Below are 24,130 nucleotides of genomic sequence, written 5' to 3' on the forward strand. Positions count from 1 at the left end.
ATTATTATTAGCACAATGTACCACTTCCAAAGTTTAGGCCCTAACATTTTGCACACTGAATATTATAGGCAATAAAGTTTAGTATCTTCATTAAATTGTGCTCAATATAGAGCTATAATTCAGGATGAGTAGCTTTATTCTTTCTAATTACTTTCTAATTACTAATTTCTAATTACTGACTAATTACTAATTCTAGTAATTAGTCAGATAACACTATATGGACATACAGAGAGTTAAATCTTCCTAAATCTAGAATACCAAATTAAACAACGGGAATGTTTAAAACTGAATACATAAATTTTTAAAAATTGACTAAAGGGAAAGAAATTGGATTTCCAAATCAATTAAATGTTTCAACTTTAAATCCAGACAAATTCCAAAAATCAAAATCCACCAAAAGCCATATATATTAAATAGTTTAGTCACCAAATTTAAGTAAATTGGTACAAAATACCTTGATATTATTCAAAACCACTTCCCCTTGCTCTCCGTTTAACTGCCACCATATATTTATACACACATTCCACATATAATATTTAATAATAACCCATCATTAAGGGCTAGATTTCCTCCCACCCGGTATTTCTTTATCACCTTACCCCATTCTGTGCCATCCCCCGAACTCCGTGCTTCTCCAGCTCCTTCACCATCTTCAGCAGTCACTAAAAAATCAAATTCTTTCAGTGCTTCCTCAGTATCAGGATCGTCAGTTAGGTCAGCAGCTAAACCTTCATTACCTATCTGTAAATAGAATATAAACCAAGAATTACTTTTATCCTAAATGGAAAAGGGATGCTTTAATATTGTCACATAACTACATTTACACACCCATTTTAAAATTACTTGGATCAAAAATTTTAGATCTCCTATGTAATTCACAAATCCCAAATTATACTTCAGATAAATGGTTCAACAGTGCTGTGCCAAGATTGATCTAAGTAATGTGGCACTAAAAATGGTTTAAATGCTAATCATCAAGAACAGTTAACTTCTTAAATTACAGTACATTCACAGTTAGTCCTCCATTAAAGAACCAGTCACTTATTTGCATTCTGATGTTATCTTGAATTGACCTCATAAATGGGAACTGCATGATTCGTCCTTCACTCATAGAGATATGGCATAGTAACTAATTTAAATTCATAGCTGTGATAATTATAATAGTGCTTTACCTTCCAGAACAAAAAAATTAAAAGGATCAAAATCTCTATTCACCCAAATAGACTACGTTATACATATAGAATGTGTCAAAAAAGACTGAAAACTGATTTTGTAGACCAGAGACTTTTGTGGAACACTGTCATTTTTTTCTTATGTTACCGTAAAATCTCAAATACCAACAACTAAACCTACCCACTTTTTTCTATGGTTGAAATGCTGTACACTACTTTGGTAATCCACGAATGGACGATCAACTCTACTTTGGCTTCTACAGCAAGCCCCTCAAACCACTCAAATAGATAAACCTGTTTCTTAGGTTATGAGCAAAAGTAAATTTTTATTATTCTTTACTAAAATACAAGAATGTTGAGACTTATTTATAATTCACAGATTACTCCCTCACCCAGGGTGGAAGTATTCCCATTGCAACTTCAGTTAATTTATCACTGGTGTGCTGTACATGAAGAGACAGACTTCAGCAGTGATTCTCAACTGTAGCAGAAGTGGAAAGGGCATTGCTTTAAAAAGGTTTCAAAATCAATGGACTAGTCCTATAAATACAGACCTTTTCTTGCCCATTTAGTGAATAATATAGCAAACAATTCCTACTCTATGTGTGTAATGCAAAAAGAGCTGACCACATAAAACTTTTAACCAATATGTAAAGTAAAGATGATCAATCACTCCCAATGTAACTTAAGATATCTTAAAAATTCCCATTCCAACTACATGAATATATAGCTAATAAGAATATAAAATGTAATTCCTACTTTATGTTTATTCATCCGATGTTTGTCTTTTCCTTCTGGGATGCCTTCGATCATGTCATTTTCCTCATCTTCATCACTGTCATCGGCATTTTCTAAGAAATTGAACGTCTCAAGAACATCACCAGAGGACCTGTGCGAAGGAAAAAAAGATAAATCCAACTATTCCAATGGTTGGTTCTAATATTTCTTTCTGGTTCCCATTTTAAATCAATTCTTAAAACTAGAGAGATTCGAATGACTACCTACTGTCTGAGGGCTTTATTCAAGAAAAGAAGTTTGAAAGATTTATGTTCTACAACTGAAATAAAAGTAATTATTCTCTGCTGACTTTCTCCAAAGTTCATTGTCCAAAATATTTTAGGTAATTACTGCAACAAAATAAAATCCTATAGTATTAGACACTCAAACACATATTATTAGTTCTCAAAATAAAACCATCATAAACAAGCAACTGAAACTTGGCCTTTCTTATAACTACAACCTCTTACAGTTTGGTCTAAATGTTTGAGGACTAAAACAGTAAATACCAAAGTTTATCAGGCGGGGCCAGGGACAGTGCTTCATGCCTGTAATCCCAGCACTTTGGGAGGTGAAGAGGGGAAGATCGCTTGAGCCTAGAGTTCAACACCATCCTGGGCAACACAGTGAAACCCATCTTCAAAAAAAAAAATTACCTGGGTATGGTGGTGTGTGCCTATAGTCTCAGCTACTCAGGAGGCTGAGATAGGAGGATTATTTGAACCCAGGAGGTTGAGGCTGCAGTGAGCTATGACTATATACTGCATTCCAGCCTGGGTGACAGAGCAAGACCCAGTCTCAAAATGAAAACAAAAAAACTTAAAAATAATTTATCAAGCAGCCCAGATTTATAGTAAATCAGATATAAAACAACCCAATCCATTTCACAGACTGTCTTAGCTAGAAAAAATAACTCAAAATCTATTAAATAAATACTTTTAAGTCTTGCAGAATCACTTATTTAACAGGTAATAGGGACAATATATATATTTTATCCACTTAACTAAATCTTTTAACTAATTTGAGTTTCTCTATGCACACACAAAAAAAGGTTTTCATACAGTTGTTTAAGTGTCTAACAATAAAGGCAGCAACAAAACAGTAGAAAATTCAGCTGAACAAAGACTTTCACCATGAAAATTCTCTGCTCTGCCACTAAGCAGCTGCTTGAATTTGGCCAAACCATTTAAATCTTTTGGCCTCAATTTCTTTACCTGTAAATTGTGGGGGCTGAATTAGATTATCTCAAATGTTTTTAAATGTCTTTACTAAGAGTACATGGTAACAAAAAGAAAAATAATATAAAACTCAGGGAGGGTTTTTGCCCCCCTCTCTGACTGGTTCCCTCCATTAGTCCAAATTAAGCATGTAATACAATTCAGATTATAGTCGTCCCTTGGTTTCCATGAGGCAGTGGTTCTAGCATACATACCTCCCTATCATGCTGAAGTCCCTACGCACATTCTCCCTGTAGTATACTTTAAATCATCTCTAGATTATTTATAATACCTAATACACTGTAAATACTACGTAAATAGGTGTCACACTGTATTTTTAAATTTGTATTATTTTATTTTTTAATTGTCGTTTTTTTTTTCAATGTGGTATTTTCAATCCATAGATGTAGAACCTACAGATAGAAAGGGTTGACTATATTTTTTAAATAGCATTAACAAAGAGTTTTAATAGGTTGTACTATATCCCACCCAATCCAGCACACTGTTTAAAGGAACTGTATAATGACTGAATGTAGGAGATGGTTTCTTCAAATGCAAATTAGTAAAAACAACCACAAATCTACCACAACAAAATATACTTTCAGCTCAAAATTTACAATATAACTTAATATTTGGAGAGTAAGTGAAAGGCAATGAATGCATTTGACAAAAGTAGCATATCAATGATACAATAATTTAAAAGAATTTTTTTTAAAGATATATTTGTTTTGAACTTTGAAAAATTAAGTACTGCTGCTCCTTGGATAGAAATTTCTGTCTCTAAAGTAAGAGTACCTCCTGTTTCCAGGTTTTAAAACTGTATTTAATCACAGCAATACATGTGCATGGCTTTAAAAGTCAAATGGAACACAATGCATAAAAGAAAGAATTGGTCAATCAGATTTCACCAAAATTAACATTCGCTCTTTGAAAGACACCAAGAGAATGTAAAGAAAAGCCTATAAATTGTGAAAAAATATTTGCAAGTTATATTTCATGAAAAACTTGTGTCAAGGGGTATATAAAGAACACTTAAACCTTAACAGTAACAAAACAATAAAAAATGGGGAAATATTTCAAATAGACATTGCATCATAACGATAGGTGGAATGCAAATAAGCATATGAACAGATGCTCAACATCATTAGTCTTTAGGGAAATAAAAATTAAAGGATCATAGACTATGAAAGGTCTCAGGTTTTTCCCTGCCTTCATGCTAACAACCTAGCCTATTACTGTTTCATGGATCCTGAAATAAGTCATAAAATTGAGTCAGAGACAAGAATTCTCCTCAGGAGCACAGAAAGTAATAGGATCATGTTTGCTGAATTTCCTTTGCCCAAGTCCCACAAGGGTGGCAAGGAGGTAATCAGGTAGATGTTACACTTACATTTCATTTGAATTATAGCGGAGGAACTCTGAGCTTAGGGAACTTGAATCATTTATACTGAACAGTAAGCATGACTTCCCAGAAGACTGTCTCTATCTTACAAGGTTGTTTGTTATATAAATATCCTTAAATAGATAGTCCAGAATAAAAGGGCAATATGTGTCTCTGCTCACAGGATGTTTAGAAACAGATCAGTGGAGAATTGTCTCTAAAAAACAAAACAAAAATGAGGTAGGGTCACAAACTTATAAGAATGACTAAAATTAAGGAACGCAGTCTGGAGTGGAGTTGATGAAGAGTAGAAAAAGATTAGAAGAGTTGCTGAGCTGAAGAATGAAATAAGGAATCAGCCAGTGAAGAAAAAGAAAAGGTTTGTCAGGCAACTTTTAGAGCTCTACTGAAGTTAGCTAAGAATAATTTGGGGATCATGAGTATCGTCAATCTTTTGCTGTTGCTGCTGTTGCTGCAGTTGCTAAAATGAAGTTCTGCTTGCTAGGAAATACTTAGGAGAAAAAAAGCCAAATAGTTCTAAATAAATTGACAAGGCATACAATGAGTAACAAGAGAGTCCCCTGCCCCATCCTTCTCTATCTTTGATTCCTACACACTAGGAACAACCATTTTTAAACTTATTTTTAAAGAAGCTTCCCTTTGTTATTTACCCTATTTTTTCTAAATAACATGCTCAGATTGCTATTTCTTGATAAAAATGTAGTTCCCTTACAGTCTCCATCCCACATCCACACTTCCTCCCATAACAGTAATATAGTTACATCAGTTTACTTTTGGCTTTATTAATATTCCATGGTTACACTGTAAGTACATATTAGTATGTCCATGTAAATCACATTACAATGACTCTACTTCCTTTCTTTTATATATAGTTTTCCTGAAATAACTGCCTAGTGTGTTTTTTTTTTAATTGCCTGGTTTTCCAAGGATGTTACCACTATTCTCCTCTGAAATTTTCCAGCAGAACTGTACATCTCCTTTCAAAATCCTCAAACACATAAAGCAATGTATTAATTTCATATTTTCTAAGAAACGTTCCTTCCAGTGTTCTGTCCTCCTTCCATTCTACTCTGGCTAATGTCCAGGCCCACTGCACAACTGTTTCCTGAAATTTCCTTTGCCTCTCTTTATTAGATATCTTTTTTCTTGGATCCTACACTTTCTTCCTTCTTGACTTAGTCTCTCAGAATTCTGAGAAACATCTCCAATAGCTTCCTGAGAAAAAATGAAGGGTAAATTTGAGGCTTTCATATCTAAATGTCTCTTTTTGCTATTAATACTTTCACAAACAATACAGTACTTGGCTCAGTATACAAATCTAAATGGAACTCACTTTCCCTCAGAATCTTTAAGGCACTGCTCTCCTATATTCCAGCTTTGAATGTTAATTTAATAATGCCTGATTCCTAGTCTTTTCAATGTAGTCTAATTTTTCTATCTGGAAGATTTTAGAATTTCCTCTTAATTTTTAGTGTTCATGATTATGGCCGCTGTATGGATCTTTTTTCATTGATTTTATGGAGTAACTGGAAAGAATCCTTTCAATCTGGAAACAAACATCCCTGGAAATACATTCTGAAAATATATTCCAGAGAGTTTTCTTGTATTACTGTTTTAATCAAGTTTTCAACACTTGATTTGTTTTCTCTTTTTGAAACTCCTAGTCCGACATTGACCCTCTCAACTTGATCTTTGAATTTTCCTATCTTTTTGGTCCTAACTGGTGTACTGTCTACATGGGTGCCATGGTCTGAATGTTTATGTCCCTCAGCAAAATTCCTATTTTGAAACCTAATCCCCAATATGATGGTATTAAGAGGTGGGCCTTTGGTAAGTGGCTAGGTCATGGGGACAGAGTCCTCATGAATAGGATTAGTACCCTTATAAAAGAGGCCCAAAGGAGCCTGCCTTTTCCACCATGCGAAAACCCAGTGGGAAGTCGGCAGTCCGCAACCCAGAAAAGGGTCTTCACCAGAACCCAACCATGCTGACACATTGATCTTAGACTTCCCAACCTCCTGAGCTGTGAGAAATAAATTTCTATTGTTTATAAGCTACTCAGTCTACGGTATTTTGTTACAGCAGCCCAGAAGGACTAAGAATATGGCTATCTCTTGTCAAGCTGCTGACTTAACTTCTGCATGATAGGACACAGGCCCAGCCATTTCACTGACATATCCCAATTTTCAGTACCATTAGGCCTTTCCTATTAATGTGATTCAACTTCAATATCTTGCTTGTAAGGGATAAAAGCTGCCAACATACTGGAAGTCACACAGTAGGAGAAAACAGGAGACCTCAATGCTCAGCTGGAGACTTTCATACAACCCTGCTGTTTTCATTTTATACAATAACCCCATCTTTCAGTTGTTTTATTTCTTGAGAAAACAAAAATCACTGGTGGAAAATACACTACCATTCTTTGGAGTAGGGGAGGGGTGGTGTTAAACCAGCTTCACAAGATGAAAGAGAGGATTCAACATTGTGCTTCTTAAACTTTTTTTTTCCCCCCAAGATGGAGTTTCCCTTTGTCACCCAGGCTGGAGTACAGTGGCATGATCTCGGCTCACTGCAACCTCTGCCTACCAGGTTCAAGCGATTCTCATGCCTCAGCCTCCCTAGTAGCTGGGATTACAGGCGCCTGCCACCATGCCCAGCTAATTTTTGTACTTTTAGTAGAGATGGAGTTTCACCACGTTGGCTGGTCTGGTCTCAAACTCCTGATCTCAAGTGTTCTGCCCACCTCAGCCTCCCAAAGTGCTGGGATTACAGGCGTGAGCCACCATGCCCAGCCTGTGCTTCTTAAATAAACTTTAAACCAATTCTCTATTCATACCCCTATTTAAACCTCACTGAATACCTATAATTCCTTAGCCTTTGTGGCTTTACTGGAATTCTGTGACTTGAATTGGCTTATTCCTTTTCTTCATCCTATCACTCTCAAATGCACTTATGTTTAATAAGCTTTCCCAGGGTCACTCAGTCAGTTGCCATTCCTCCATTTTCTTTCTGGATTCCAAATCGTTAAATTCTCCCTATCTCACAGACAGTATACTCTCTCATTCTTTCTGTATGTCATTGTTTTTTTTGTTGTTGTTCTTTTGTGTTAATGCATCTTAAGCCCTTCACTGTCCTTTAGCAAAATTTCTGAAAGGCACACAAGTAATATGTGACTTTAACCTACCATATTTAAAATGGAAGTCTCCATCTGTGGATAATTTTTCTCTTTGCCAACTATTTATTTACTACCCTCTCTCATTCTAAAGAGACAACAGAATCTTAAAAATGAATAAATCCAGATGAAAGGGAAAACAAAATGAAGCCAAAGGTAAGGCTGCTAAGTAAAAGACTAAATGTGTCAATGCATTTTCTAGAGGAGGCCCACAAATTTGGCCCTGAGATTCCAAACACGGTTAAAAAAAGAGGTGGGCGGGGAGCAACAACTGGAGGTTCAAAGGTAAATAAGACCAATTATTAAGAAACAGCACAACTTTTCCCAGTTATAAGATCTAAGAGAACTTTCCCAATGAGTCCTTATAAAGTAGATGCTTTGTGATATGATGCACTATACAACCACAACCATACCCTACCATAAATCAAGAAATACAATAGTGCCACTCACTCGATAGCATCTAATAAACACTAGTCTTGGTGGGGGTCACATTTCAACTAGATACACAATATTTCCTAATAGCTAACAATTATATAACACTTACTGTGTGTCAGGCATTGTTCTAAATGCTTTACATTAATTCATTCCTTCCTCACATCAATCCTATGATCCTCATTTTACAAATAAGGAAAGTAATGTTCCTTGTCCAAAGTGATGGCTAGTAACTAGTGGTTAAGTTAGGATTCAAATCCAGTCTGTCTTCAGAATTCATATTCTTAACCATTAGGCATACTGCCTCTAAAATATGAATCTGAAATTTACCATCCTCTACTTTTGGACATTAAGACTGCTTCTAATTTTTTCCTATTATAAATAAGAATGTAATAAACATCATTTTGCTGAAATCTTGATCCACATGTTATATCATTTTCTTATTCCTAGGGGTTTTCAAATGGCCCTAATAATGGCTCAACCATAACATGCCTACATTAGGGCAGAATCAGAAAATGTTATTGTATGCATTAAGAAGAAAGCCTCGATTAAAACAACTATTTCCGGCCAGGCGCAGTGGCTCATGCCTATAATCTTAGCACTTTAGGAGGCTGAGGCAGGAAGTTGCTTGGGGCAGGAGGGTTACTTGAGTCCAGGAGTTCAAGATCAGCCTGGGGAACATAATGAGGTCCTGTCTCTACAAAAACTTAAAGAATCAGCCAGGTGTGGTGGCATGTGGCTGTAGTCCCAGCTACTCTGGAGGCTGAAGTGGGAGGATTGCTTGAGCCTGGGAAGTTATGGCTACAGTGAGCTGTGATTGTGCCACTGCACTCCAGCCTGGGCAACAGGGCAAGACACCATTCAAAACAACACTAAACAAATAAACAACTATTACCTACATGTCCATCAACAGGTAAAGAAATAAAGAAAATGCAGTATATGCATACATTGGAATATCGTTGGTTATGAAAAGAAGGAAATCCTGTCATAAATGACAACAAGAATGAACCATGAAGACATTACGCTAAGTAAAATAAGCTAACCACAGAAGGACAAATATTGCATGAGTCCAATCATGAGGTACTTAAAGTAGTCAAACCCAGAAACACAAAGTAGAATAGTGGTTGCCAGGGGCCGGAGGGAGGAGGAAATGGGGAGCTGCTGTTCGAAAGTTATTGTTTCCAGTCATACCAGATGAAAAAGTTCCAGAGAGTTGGAACTTTGTGCTTCTGTTAACAATACTGCACACTTTAAAGTTTGTTGAGAGGGCAGATCCCATGTTGTATTTAACATACACGCATGCACACACACTCCAAAAAACTATCAAAATCTTAATTTTGCAAAGGCAAGAAGCTTTACAAGGAGAAGATACAGCTTATCGAGGATCTTTGTAAGATGATACTAAGAGTGAGGGGGAAAAAAACGAAAGGATCTTTGATTCAGATTCAGAGTCAGACGTGGTATGGCAAACCTGTATTGCTGTAAAATATTTACAAATTCTATGAACTACGTGGGTGACCAGTTTGGCTAAAAATATTTGATAATATTTCCGCTTTTTCTCTTATGCTACAAAACACTCTATGCTTCCTGAAATCACAGTATAGAAAATAAGGGCTCTATCTGATGTCAAACTGACTTTAATAGTCATTTCTCAGAAATGAAAACTCGAAATCAAAGGCTTATGTTAACTTTAAACCTTACAGAAAAAAATACACATACACACATATGTATATGTGTATATATACATAATATATACACATATATATACATGTATATATACATAATATATACACATATATATACATGTATATATACACGTATATATATATATATATACACACACAGACACACGCACATACATATATATATACACATATATATACACATTTTTTTTTTTTTTTGAGATGGAGTCTCGCTGTGTCACCCAGGCCGGAATGCAATGGCATGATCTCAGCTCACTGCAACCTTTGCCTCCTGGTTCAAGCGATCCTCCCACCTCAGCCTCCCAAGTAGCTGGGATTACAAGCGTGCACCCAGCTAATTTTTATATTTTTAGTAGAGATGGGGTTTCACCATGTTGGTCAACAGGCTGGTCTTGAATTCCTGATCTCAAGTGATTCACTCGCCTCAGCTTTCCAAAGTGCTGGGATTACAGACATGAGCTACTGTGCCCAGTCGACCAGAATATATTTTAGATAACTGCACAATATCATAAAATACATCTAGGGTATAAAATAATGTTTATAAACTATATACATTATTTATTTATTAAGCTCTAAATGACCTCAATGAACTCATCTGGTTTTTTCCCCATTTTCTTTGTCTTTCTAACCTATGTTACTCAGGGTAACGTCTCATGGTAAAAATGCTTAACTCCTTGTATTTATCAATTCCGTATTCATCAAAAGTATATCTGTTAGACAATAACAAGTGTTGATGAGGATGTGGAGAAATCAGAATCCTTTTAGTACTGCTGGTGGGGAGGTAAAACAGTGCAGCTACCTTGGAAAAGAGTTTGGCAGGTCCTCAATCTTCTTCATTAGTCCAAAACTTGGAACCAACCCACATACCCATCACCTATATAAGAAACACACAATGAAGGCCGGGTGTGATGGCTGATGCCTGTAATCCCAGCACTTTGGAAGGCCAATGAGGGCGGACTGCTTGAGCCCAGGAGTTCAAGACCTGGGCAACATAGCAAAATCCTGTCTCTACAAAAATTAGTCAGGCATGGTGTTGTGAACCTGTGGTCCCAGCTACTCGGGAGGCTGAGGTGGGAGGATAACCTGAGCCTAGGGAGGTCAAGGCTTCAGTGAGCCGTGATCATGCCACTGTACTCCAGCCTGGGAAATGGAGTAAGACCCTGTCTCAAAAATAATAATAATAAAATAAAAAAGAAACACATAAACCAAACGTAGTATATCCACAATGGAGTATTATTCAGAAATAAAAAGGAATGAAGTGCTGATGCATGCTATAACACGGATAAACCTTGAAAATATGCTAAGTGAAAGAAGCCACTTACAGAAGACTGCTTATATGAAATATCCAGAATATACAAATCTACAGAGACAGAGAGTAGATTAGTGGTAGCCCAGGGTTGGGAGATAGGGAGAAATGGAGAGCGGCCACCTAATGGGTATGGGGTTTCTTTTAGGGGTGATGAAAATGTTCTAAACTTAGATTGCGGTGATAGCTGAACAATTCTTTAAGTATTCTAAAAACTATTAAATCGTATTTTTTTAATGGGTAAATTTTATGATATGTAAATTCTATTTCAATAAACATTTTTATCTGGTAGCTTTCTGAATCCAAACACAATGCAAAGCTTTGTTTCTTTCACGCTAGGGTCTAAATAACCATTGCTCATTCTAGTGAGAGTAGCATTATAATTTGTTGAAAATACTCTAGCAAAAAATTTTAAAATAAGGATGTTAAAATAGCTCTGAACTACATGAAATCAGTCTCAAATCTGATTCTGCACCTATTTCGAACTAGTCATTCTGTTGTTATCAAAACTTAACAGGTTGGGTACGGTGGCTCATGCCTGTAATCCCAGCACTTTTGGAGGCTGAGGCGGGCAGGCTGTTTAAGGCCAGGAGTTTGAGACCAGCCTGGGCAACAGAGCAAGAACCCATCTCCACAAAAAATAAAAAAAATTAGCTGGGCATAGTGGCGCATGCCTGGAATCTGAGCAACTCAGGAGGCTGAGGTGGGAGGATCACTTGAGCATGGAAGTCAGAGGCTGCCATGAGCCGACAGCACACCAGTGCACTCCAGCCTGGGCAATGAAGCCAGACCCTGACTCAAAAAACAAACACCAACTTAACATAGATAAATTTTGAAAGCCATTAAACAGAAAATTTAGAAAATTTATTTGCTCATGGTACCATGGAGTGGGGTGGGAGGTGGCTAGGTCTTTAACTCTGAACTCGATCTGCTTTAAAAATTGTTAATAGCAGTTGGGCACGCTGGCTCACGCCTGTAATCCCAGCACTTTGGGAGGCCAAGGCAGGTGGATCACCTGAGGTCAGGAGTTCGCAACCAGCCTGGCCAACGTGGTGAAACCCCGTGTCTACTAAAAATACAAAAAATTAGCCAGGAGTGGTGGTGGGTGCCTGTAATCCCAGCTACTTGGGAGGCTGAGGCAGGAGAATTGCTTGAGCCTGGGAGGCGGAGGTTGCAGTGAGCCGAGATCGTACCATTGCACTCCAGCTTGGGCGACAAGAGCAAGACTCCGTGTCAAAAAAAAAAAAAAAAAAGTTCTTAATGGCAGTAACAAGGAGCTAAAGAGATTAACAATAACAATATCCATAATATCCATTATATAAACTATGTTAAGTATAAATCATACCTTTTTATTTCTTGTCCCTTTTGCTTAGGAGATTCACCTCCATTCAGGATCTGTTCTAAATTCTTTGTTTCTACTGATCCATTTGGTTCTGAATTAGATAGTCCAAGTAATGACCTTACCCGCTGAGACCGTACATCTAATATTGTATCTGTATAACCTACTTCCTGAAGATACCTGTAAGAGAAAATAAATATTAAAATCCACATACTGTTAACATGTGCCAGACTCAAAATCACATCAAATTTTAGAAAAACCCATAATCCTATAAAATATGCTCTCCCTTTGTCTCAGTATCTTTCTTCTCTACAGACTAGTTCCAGTTCTAAGAGAACAATACCAAATACAAACCAAAATTTAAATTAAAAAGCATATAGTATGGTTAACACTGATTAAGAGCCAATTATCTCAAAACCCAAGAAGCCCTAGTGTCTTAAAATGCTTTTAGGATTATATACACACACACACACATTTTTAAATTTCCATACACACAACCACACATTGTTTTTAATTTACACACACACACACAAACACAACACACACACATTTTTTAATTTCCAAGGAGCAGTAAAGAATGAGTAGAACTGCATCTTAGCACACAGACATACTAAGTTTAAACCTGGGGTTGTTAACTAGAGATTGATGAACACACTAATTCTCCTTCTAGGATCTAAGATCTCATAGCACTCCTCCAGTCCTGTGATTTTCAATCTTTCACCATATCTAAACTAAGGAACTTAACCTAGGATCTAAGATGAGACTGGAAAAGAAGAAAGGGACTAGATTATGATACAAAGATAATGAGTTGTGAATGGTTCTGTGACAAATTAAAGTATTTAAGAGGCTAATGAAGGATGCTTAAAAGATGCCTTAAATACTGCTGGCAGAAGAACAAAAGATTTTTAGGTGAATGCTAAAGAGAAAAAGACTAGATCAGGACACTAGCAAGAAGTAAAAATGGAGGAGAATAAATGTGAAAAAAAATAAGCAAGATACAATCTCTTTGACATGATGCACAAATGTATGTGGAAGTAGAATGAATAAACAAGTAAGAACTCTACACAATTTTCAGGTTTCTAGCTTGGATGGTTACATGATGGGTACATTCAAAAAAATTATACAGAGTCAGAATCAAGTTTATACAGTACCTATCAGACAACCATATAGTGTCTATAAAAAAATACAAGTGACAATGTTTATTAGGCACATAGATGATACAAATCAAAAGCTCAGAAGAGACTGGCCTGGGTATACAGATGTGGGTCATTAATCTTTGGTAATATTTGAAGCCATGGATTTAAATGAAGTCACTCAGAGAATAAGCATAAATAAGGAGAGAAAGTCTGGGTATACAAACAACCAAAGGACTAGAATCATAATAAAAACTCAAAGGAAAATGAAAATATTTGAGAAATTAGAGGAAAAAAATGATAGCAGAGAGTGCTGTCATGGAAGCAAAAATAAAAGTTTCAAGAAGGAATAGTTAATGTCAAATTTTTCCAAGACACCAATTATAACAAAAAAGGTCTCTTGAATACGTTTGTGATAGTTGCTTCAGAGGAATGTCAAAATGGAAAACAGACAGCTGACAAATGAACAAGAAGGAAGACTATGGAGATAAACTACCTTTAACAAGTTTAGCTATAAAGTTACAGGGAAAGATAAAGGTGGCAAGAGACTAAATTGTAAATCAGGCAATGGGATTAGGCATTTATGAGAGGAATACTGTCCAAGTGATTTCTCTACTGTCCAGAAAAGCTGTCCTCACTTTTCTTCTAAAAAATGCAGTCCTCTCTTGGGGAGAACAGCTCCCATCATACTCTAACCACTTGGTCTGAATGAACTGCCAAGATCTCATACAACCCAGGTAAAAATGACTGACTCATGGGCAATTATTTGATCAGTCAGGACAACACTTACAGAGTGTTCTCTGACATACAGAAAAAAAGTGGTTTTCAGAAGAAAAGAATAAACCTAAGATAGAGAGGAGCAGAAAATCAAATAAGAATGTCTTTAGAGTTTCCAGTCTGAGAGGGCCTCCAAGCTATCCTAGCTCTTCACTTCCTGACACTTGGTTGTTCATTATTTCCTTCAATTCTGCTAGTTATCCAGCATCCTTCCAATCAATAATCTATTCTTTCCTTCAAATTTTAGTCACTTATAAGGAGAGCCTGGACTGATAAATACCTTTTTGAATGGTAAGAAACTAAAGTAAAATATAAGAGGTTTAAATACATTTACAGAGGCCAGGTGCGGTGGCTCACACCTGTAATCCCAGCACTCTGGGAGGCCAAGGCGGGCAGATCACGACGTCAGGAGATCAAGACCATCTTGGCCAACATGGTGAAACCCTATTTCTACTAAAAATACAAAAACTAGCCGGGCATGGTGGCATGCACCTGTAGTCCCAGCTACTCGGGAGGCAGAGGCAGAAGAATTGCTTGAACCCGGGAGGCGGAGGTTGCAGTGAGCTGAGATGGCGCCACTGTACTCCAGCTAAGGGAGGAGAATCTCTTGAGTCCGGGAGGCGGAGGTGATAGTGAGCAGAGATTGTGCCACTGCACTCCGGCCTGGGTGATAGACATAGACTCCGTTTCCAAAAAAAAAAATACATTTACAGAAAGGAAAGTGTTAAGGGAATTGCCACCTGACAGCCTTCACATTTTCCATGAAGCAGAGCCTGAAGTGCTTTAATGAAATAAGGGAGAATGGGCTATGTGGTAAAAGTTTAGAATATCCACTGAGGACAATGGAAGCAGGGGGTGGCCAAGGGTTATGAAAAAAGGCTCTCTGCAATGTTTGGACAGGAAACTATGAATACATAATAGTATTCACATGATTCTGTAGTTTTTATCCAAGAGTTAACTAGAAAGAGACAGACATAGTGAACAAGGGCTAGAGTTTTTCAGGTACATTTAGTAAAATGACTGGTGAGGAAGTGGTAAACAGTGGGCAGCAAGAAAATACTAGATAAGGGTGATCAATTATGGAGTCTAAGCTAGAGCTAGGGAAACAGAAATAAAATAAAAGCAACCATAGGTAGAAGAGCTAAAGAGAAAAATTATATAGTTAAGGATTTAAAAATCATGGTAAAGTCAGAGGGCAAATAACACAGTGGTCGGAGGTGGAATGCATGATGACTGTCCAGACTATGAAATATTCTAAAGATAGTTCTACAAGATCAAGAGTGAAGGTAAAGATACCTACAGCAGAAAAGGCTGAATAACTGAAAATCACCCAGGATATCAGTAGGCTACAAATCCCAAAATTTTCAAAATATAAGGAAAATAATACATGAAAGACAAAAAAGATTTGCCAGAGAAATATTTCCAATACAGCAAGTAATTCAAAATTCAAAAAAGCTCCTTAAAAATTCAACTGAAAGGAAGATTTGGCAATCCACTTCTGAAAAGTTTCAGATGAATTCAACTAAATTCATTCTCTAGACCGGTCACACCCACACTGAAAAGAAATGTGTGAATTCTGCACTGAAAGGAATGGAGGGCTCTATCAAGTATGAATTTTATATTGTTTTTGTTCTGCTCAAGTCATCCAGTCTTTTGGACATTCTACCCTGCAAGTAAGAAGACAACATCACCCTGAAACTCAGAGGAAACAAACTTTTAAAAAGATCCAAGCATCTACACAGCAAAAAAAGCAGCAATACAAAAAACATACACATTGTCCCAATATGATTTTTTACTTGTAAAGTGATTCAGTATAAGCACTTTCATACCTAGATCCTTAAAGAAGGTTGAAAATAAGTAATTACTCACTGTCTTAAAAGCTGTCTGCCTTGCTTCCACGTTAACTGGCTATTCTGAGGTGCTGTGGGAGCCTCTGTGTCTTTGGTTTCTTCTAAAAATTAAGAAAAAAAAAGTTTTACATACTTTATTTCGACTCCTGAAAATATTGCCAAAGTTTTCTTAGGGATAAATTCCCATAAAAACATACCTATTTTATAAAGGACAGGAAAAAATTAACTTTCATCTAAGTATTAACTGTGGGTCACTCATTTTAAATGTGTTTGTCCTAATAACCCAATGACTTAAGTACTATGTCCCCCATTTTAAAACAGGGAAAACCCAAGTGTACTTTATTAGTATCAAGGAATCAAATGCCCAGGAGATAAAATATTATTAAAACTGATTTTTTCTCTTTTTTTTTGAGACAGGGTCTCATTCTGTCACCCAGCCTGGAGTACAGTGGCACCATCTCGATTCACTGCAGTCTCGACTTCTCTGGGCTCCAGAGATCCCACCTCAGCCTCTCGAGTAGCTGGGACCACAGGCATGTACCACCACACCCAGCTAATTTTTGTATTTTGAAGAGATGAGGTTTTGCCATATTGCCCAATCTGGTCTCAAACTCCTAGGCTCAAGCGATCCACCCACCTCAGCTTCTTAAAGTGCTGAGATTACAGGTGTGAACCACCATGCCTGGCAATTTAATTTTTTTTAACTACTAGAATTCCGCTAAGTCGATTGCCTTTGAAATTAAAAAGCTGTATTATATGAGCTATTCAAAATCAACACTGTTAAGATATTAGGCATACATAAAAATATTGAATACCTTAATATGGGGTCTATATCAGTGGACCTTAAGTCTACATCACAGGACTTCATCTAGCTAAGTTCCTTTTTTGGAACTAAAATTAAACCAGAAAATAGTTTTTACTATAGGTAGAGTCATTATTTTATTTTCAGATAACAAAGTGTACACATTAAAAAAAATAATAAAAAGAGATTAGGCCAGATGCAATGGCTCACGCCTGTAATCCCAGGACTTTGGGAGGCTGAGGTGGGCAGATCACTTGAGCACGGGAATTCAACACCAGCCTGAGCAACACGGTGAAACGCCGTCTCTAGCAAAAATACAAAAGTTAGCCAGGTATGGCGGCACATGCCTGTAATCCCAGCTACTTGGGAGGCTGAGGCAAAAGGATCGCTTGAACCCAGGAGGTGAAGGTTGCAGTGAGCCAAGATTGCACCACTGCACTACAGCCTGGGCGACAGAGCGAGACCCTGTCTTAAACAACAAAAAAAAAGAGTTTAATAAACAGTATGATTTCAGATTAATCTCTCAACTAGCATCTCTATAACAAAATTTAAAACTATTGACATTTATATCACAGAAATACTTCCCCGTAAGTTCCCATTATTAACATAAAGACACAGTGAAGAAGAGAGGGACTTAGAAGATCAACCCTCATACTGAATGTTGAAGACTCTGTGAGGCTCCTAGACTCCTCAAAATCACTTAGTAGTGATTCAAATGTCCTCTTCAGACATTATTTCTCTAATCCTAACAGTCCAATTATTAATATCTCTGGCTGGGAACAGTGGCTAAGGGTCTGCAATCCCAGCACTTTGGGAGGCCAAGGCAGGTGGGTCGCTTGAGCCCACGGGTTCAAGACCAGCCTGGGAAACATGTCAAAACCTCATCTCTACAAAAAATGCAAAAATTAGCCAGGCATGGTGGCACGTGCCTGTAGTCCCAGCTACTTGGGAGGCTGAGGTGGGAGGATTGCATGAGCCTGGGAGACAGAGATTGCATTGAGCCAAGATCGTACCATTGCACTCCAGCCTGGGCAATAGAGCAAGACTCTGTCTCAAAAAAAACCAAAAAAACAACACTTATTCTATCCCAAACGTAAGCATTTCTTTTATTTCCAGAAATAATTATTTCATTCTAATAGTCCCTCTACTGATTTTTCTATTTATAACATTTTAAAATTACATATAACACATAATCACTGGAGGAAAAAAATACTAAAAAAACAAGATATACGACTGCCCAAACCCTGTTACCAAGAATTAACAACTGGTAGTACTTTAGTGTTTATCATTTCTTATTTTCTACCTGAAAATATACATAATACAACCCCACCCTTTTTAAAAATGTGCCAATGTATATACTGCACTATCATCTGCTTCTGACACTAAATGTACCTTGAACATTCTCTGTATGGCAATACAGATTAACATAAAAAATGACTGCATAATATTCTATAGAAAATATATACCTATTTAACCAATCCCCTAATGTTGAAATTAGTTTCCATTTTCTATTATAAATAATGTTGCTAAGGATATTCTTGAAGTACATCAAGTGTATAGCTCAAGGAATTTTTGAACACGCCCATGTAACCAGTACCTAGATGAAGAAACAAAACATTATCAGCATCCCCAAAAGCCTTTCTTGTGCCCTCCAGTCACTAGCCACTCCAAAAAGGGTATGAATGCTATCTTGATTTCTAAAATTATCTAGATTTTTGAATATAATAATTTCTTCAATTTTCAGTTTTATGTGATTAAACCATGTTGTCACATTCAGTTTTAGTTTGCTCACTTTTGTTGCTAAACAGCATTCTATTATGCTAACATATCACAATGTACTTATCCATTTATTCTAATTCTGAAGACTGTTCTAGTTGTTTCCAGATTTTCACTGTAAATAATGATGCTATGAAAATTCTTACACAAGCTTCATGATGAACATATATATGCTTTTTGAGGAGTGGAGTTACTGGATCATAGGGTATGTATATAAATATTTTTTGAGACAGGGTCTCACTTTGTCATCCAAGAGGGAGTAGAGTGGTGTGAACAAAATTCACTGTAGCCTTGACCTCCCGGGCTCACGCAATCCTCCTACTTCAGCCCCCTAAATAGCTGGGACTACAGGCATGCAACACCAAGCCTGGGTAATTTCTGTATTTTTTGTAGAGATGAGGTTTTGCCATGTTGTCCAGGCTGGTCTTGAACTCCTGGGATCAAGTGATCCAACGCCTCGGCTTCCCAAAATGCTGGGATTACAGGAATGAGCCACAGCACCTGGCCTAGGTATGTTATATCCTCTTTAATAATAGTCATAGTGTCAAGTCACTTTCAGAGCAGCATTATCAATATATAATCCTAACACCAATGTCGACGAATTCTAGTTACTCCACATCCTCAACACTTGATATTGCCTCTTCTGCATTTTAGCCATTCTGGTCAGTGTCTAATTGTATTCCATTGTGGTTTTAAGTTGTATTTTCTTAATAACTAATAAAAATCAAGCAACATTTCATATATTTATTGGCCATTTATATATCCTCTTCTATGGTGTGTCTTTTTAAGTCTTTTGCCCATTATTCTATCTGATTATCTGTTTTCCAAATGTAGAAGAAAGGGAACTCTTTTATATTTTAATATAACCCGTTTATAAGGTTAGGTTTAGGCTGTATCTATTTATTTTACTGAGAAAGGGGTATAAATACTTATATATCTTCTACTATGATCAAATCAATATTTTGTACATTTTCTTTCTTATATTGATTTCTTTGGGGGTATATAAAAGGCGACATTGTTTCATTTAATATTATCTCCATATATACTCTGACATAAATAATTTTACAATATTTTGTTCACACGATATACTTCTGCCCATCCCTTTGTTTGGTTTTCCACTAAACATCCTGAAGAATTTTTCTACATAACTGAAAACATTTTACTTCGCTGTTATTGTGTGTCCTGTAAAGAAAATACTTGGTTGGATATTATTTTATTCCTCAACTTGAGGAACTTTTAATATTTAGGTTTATACAGATAAAAACAGATTGTCTTGCCACAATTTCAGTTGTGAGCAAAAAAGACTTATCTTGCTTTATACAAACTGTTATACTGGGACCACCTAGCCAATTCTGACTCTCCTTAGCCTCTACTGCAGGCTCAGTGTGGCTTTAACTAGCCTCCTTTCTTTACACACAGACCAAGCCCTACAGTTCTAGAAGTGCCTGCTTATTTTCTGAATATTCTAGCCATACTGGAAATAAAATGAGTCAAGAAAAAAAAAAAAAAGCTCTGAATTCACCAGGTATTTTTCTGGTGAAGTCACTCTACTCCCTTTAACTGCAAAGAGAAGACTATAATAATCATGGCTCGGAAAAAGTAGACCTTCCATGTTTCTGTTCCTGATTTTTGCTTTTTCCAAGGAGGAGATTCTAATACAGTTTCTTGGCATCAGAATAAGCCTTCATAACCACTGAAAAGCCAGGTCAAAGAAAACCTATGCCACTCCCATCTTGGTCTCTTAATTTTATATGTATGACAACAAATGGAAGCTCTAAAGTTCTGCTGCTAAGACTGAAAGTGTTAAAGACTAAAAAATAAATCAACTGCAAATTTTATGTATGGTGTGTGTTTCTCCAAGTTCTACATACTTAATATTGAACTCAAAAACAATTAACTAAAATTTTAAAATTTACTATAATACCTAACTTTGTTACCTTTCAGCTCAAATTACTACCATAAATGCAACCACACTTTTACACAGATTTCAACTCAAGGATAATAAGACAAGTTGCCTCAGGATTAAGATGTATATGAAACTATTTACTTTTATTCATTTAATATTTTTTCCCAAATTCTAGACAGTTTACAATAGTCATTCTCTAATATTATCAAACCAAAATGCGGGTAAAGAGAACATGTCTGTTACATAAAAAATGAATTAAAAAAAAAAAAAGTAACAGAAGAAGCAAGTTTACCTGACTCAAAGGTTGGCATTTTCAAGTCACCTTGGTTCAGTTCCGTGCCATATTTTAATTTGTGATATTTTGCCCTGAAAATTTAATCACAAATTAGTAAAATCACAACTTCTTCTTTTTGTCACTCTTGCTTTATATTACTCCAATAACAAAACATAATATGAATGTCTGCTTCTTTAAACTTTGTTTGCAAAGAACATTGAAGACTATATTGCTGTAAAAGAAAAAAAAGGTAAGTTTCCCAAGTAACACATACCCAAAAGTTAAAAAAAGATCAATTATCCTTTGTCTTTTTTTTTAAGTTCCAAAATTTAGATTCTGTAACAAAACACATTTCAATTGAATTATTTTAATCTCTTTTGCCTTTCTTTCCCAAGTATGAATCAAATCAAGACAGCATCATGTATTCGGGCAAGGATTTGTACCTTTCAAAAAAAGCTGCCAAATACAGAGTACAATGGTATACATGAGTATACTATTGTTCTACTTTATTCATGTAACAAAATGAGGCACACATACCTTTCTTGTTTTAATGCATACTCTAACATCTTTATTCTTCTTACTAAGTCCTTCTTCAGGTTCTCTTGACCTTTTCTTTCGCCTTGTAGAAATGCAATCCGGGCCTAAAAATATAAAAGATGCATTTATTTACATTTTCCCTTAACCATACATAGGAAACTGAAAAATGGAAAACGATAAACACAAACTGTTGCACTTGACTCATGATATCAAGATTTTAAATTCATAAAAACGGGCCAGGCAATGGCTCACACCTGTAATCTCAGCACTTTGGTAGGCCAAGGCAGTAGGACTGCTTGAGACAAGGAGTTTTAGACCAGCCTATGAAACATAGTGAGACCTCATCTCTACAAAAAATTTTTTAAATTGGCCAGGTTTAGTGGTGTGTGCCCATAGTCCTAGCTACTCGAGGCTGAGGAGACTCTGTCTCAAACAAACAAACAAAAAAAACTCATAAAATGTCCAAACTTTGTTAGATCTAACACATCCCTTTTAAAATAAAGATAACTATAAATTAGCTAGTTTATAATCCTTAAGATCCCTAATATTAATATTTCACCTTCACATAACCTTGAAAGAAAAATATACATAAAAATGCCACCTAATTCCTAACATACAATTCACAAAGAACTGAAAAACATGTCCACAAGTAGATAAATACGTCAGAAAATGACATATTATTTCAAAAAACAGATTACTTCAAAAGCTTTTCTTGAAATACTAGAAAATTTATAATCTGAGCTAGGCACGTGGCTCATGCCAGTAATCCCAGCACTTTGGGAGGCCGAGGCAGGCAGATCACCTGAGGTCAGGAGTTCAAGACCGGCCTGGCCAACATGGTGAAACCCCCTCTCTACAAAAATACAAAAATTAGTTGTGCATGATGGCAGGTGCCTGTAATCCCAGCTACCCGAAAGCCTGAGGCAGGAGAATCGCTTGAACCTGGGAGGCGGAAGCTGCAGTGAGCCGAGATGGTGCCACTGCATTCCAGCCTGGGCAACAGAGCGACACTCTGTCTCAAAAGAAAAAAGAGGGGCCGAGCGCGGCGGCTCACGCCTGTAATCCCAGCACTTTGGGAGGCCGAGGCGGGTGGATCACGAGGTCAGGAGATCGAGACCATCCTGGCTAACACGGTGAAACCCGTCTCTACTAAAAAATACAAAAAATTGCCAGGCGTAGTGGTGGGTGCCTGTAGTCCCAGCTGCTCGGGAGGGTGAGGCAGAAGAATGGCGTGAACCCAGGAAGTGGAGCTTGCAGTGAGCCGAGATGGTGCCACTGCACTCCAGCCTAGGCGACAGAGTGAGACTCCATTTCAAAAAAAAAAAAAAAAAGAGAGAGAGAAAAAAGAAAATGTATAATCTTTCCATTGTACCACCCCACTCCAAATTCCATTTTAATTCTTGAAACAGTAAATGCCATACTATTACAAATAGTTTAAGTAAGCCACCATATATTCCATTACCTCATTGCTTTCTATTGTCATTTTTCCACTGTGAGAGAATTTTTTTCCTTAAGTGCCTTTTATCCTTATTTCCTGAAAAAAGCAATTCTCTGCCTTTTTCTAGCCCTTCCCTATATGTCAGCCTGCTTTAACCACCTCACACTAAAGAATAATGTTGAAAGAGACTGGCATCTGTCTGGGGACATTTGCCATTATCTACACATTGACAATAAAACTAATTTTCACAAGAGGTAGAATGTTCTTGCAGAGATGACACAGGTGCATTTGTTCAGTATGAGAAAGAAAGCTATTCAGTAAGCTAAATTGTTGTTAAAACTTTAGTTATGATGTGTTCATTTCTACAAGAGAAATATATTAGCCAAGGAGACCAGCTAAATCAAGTCAACTAATAAAAACACCTAAGTAATAAATAACTGCTGTCGTCAAAAAAACTGTTACCCTAAAAAAAGTTTGTATGAAATTATCTACAACTTCTTAACACCTGAGAAGCTATAAACAGCTACAGAGTTCATGACCAGCCTTGGCAAGACAGCGAGACCCTGTTTGTACCAAAAAATCAATAATTAGCCAGGCGTGGTAGCATGTTCCTGTAGACTTAGCTACTTGGCAGGCTGAAGCAGGAGAACTGCTTGAGCCCAGGAGTGAGGCTAGAGTGAGCTACGATCACATCACTGCCCTCCAGCCTGGGCGACAAGCAAGACCCTACCTCTAAAAAATAAAAATAAAAATAAACAAATAAGCAGCTACATGACACTTATAAATACATATTTTAAAAATTTTTAAAAAGCACTAGGAGGAATAATAAAAGTTCAGAACCTAATAGTCTATGATCCAGAAGAAAAGAGCAGCACTTACTCTCTATCAAGCTGTGGAGCAAAGGGAAAAGATGTCAAATTCGTCATACACTTTTAAGTAAGATTCTGACTAGTGTTTTCTCCTGTGTTGGCTGTTTGTTGTTGTTGTTGTTTTTAAAAACCACTAAGCCCATACTATAGAACCATTATGTATCTCTCAATTTTCAGATCTAATAAGTGTTCTAAAATTACCATTACAAAAAGCTGAAGGAAACCTGTTTTATTATTCTGCTTCTGAA

At 36.7% G+C, this 24,130-nt stretch overlaps 1 protein-coding gene across 5 annotated transcripts in view; it reads right to left on the reverse strand.

The window, feature by feature from the left end:
• STRN3 (striatin 3) overlaps positions 1-24,130 on the reverse strand; it is a 132,576-nt gene that overhangs the window by 40,760 nt on the left and 67,686 nt on the right. For all 5 annotated transcript variants that reach the window (NM_014574.4, XM_005267569.5, XM_005267570.5 and 2 more), the window contains exons 2-7: positions 21,576-21,679; positions 21,057-21,130; positions 16,300-16,381; positions 12,527-12,700; positions 1,932-2,061; positions 600-741 (exon numbers count right to left, since the gene is read on the reverse strand). In NM_014574.4, the coding sequence (NP_055389.3) occupies positions 600-741; positions 1,932-2,061; positions 12,527-12,700; positions 16,300-16,381; positions 21,057-21,130; positions 21,576-21,679 (706 nt within the window). The remainder of the gene's footprint in view (positions 1-599; positions 742-1,931; positions 2,062-12,526; positions 12,701-16,299; positions 16,382-21,056; positions 21,131-21,575; positions 21,680-24,130) is intronic.

This window comes from Homo sapiens, chromosome 14, assembly GCF_000001405.40.
Source record: "Homo sapiens chromosome 14, GRCh38.p14 Primary Assembly".
Lineage (NCBI taxonomy): Eukaryota > Metazoa > Chordata > Mammalia > Primates > Hominidae > Homo > Homo sapiens.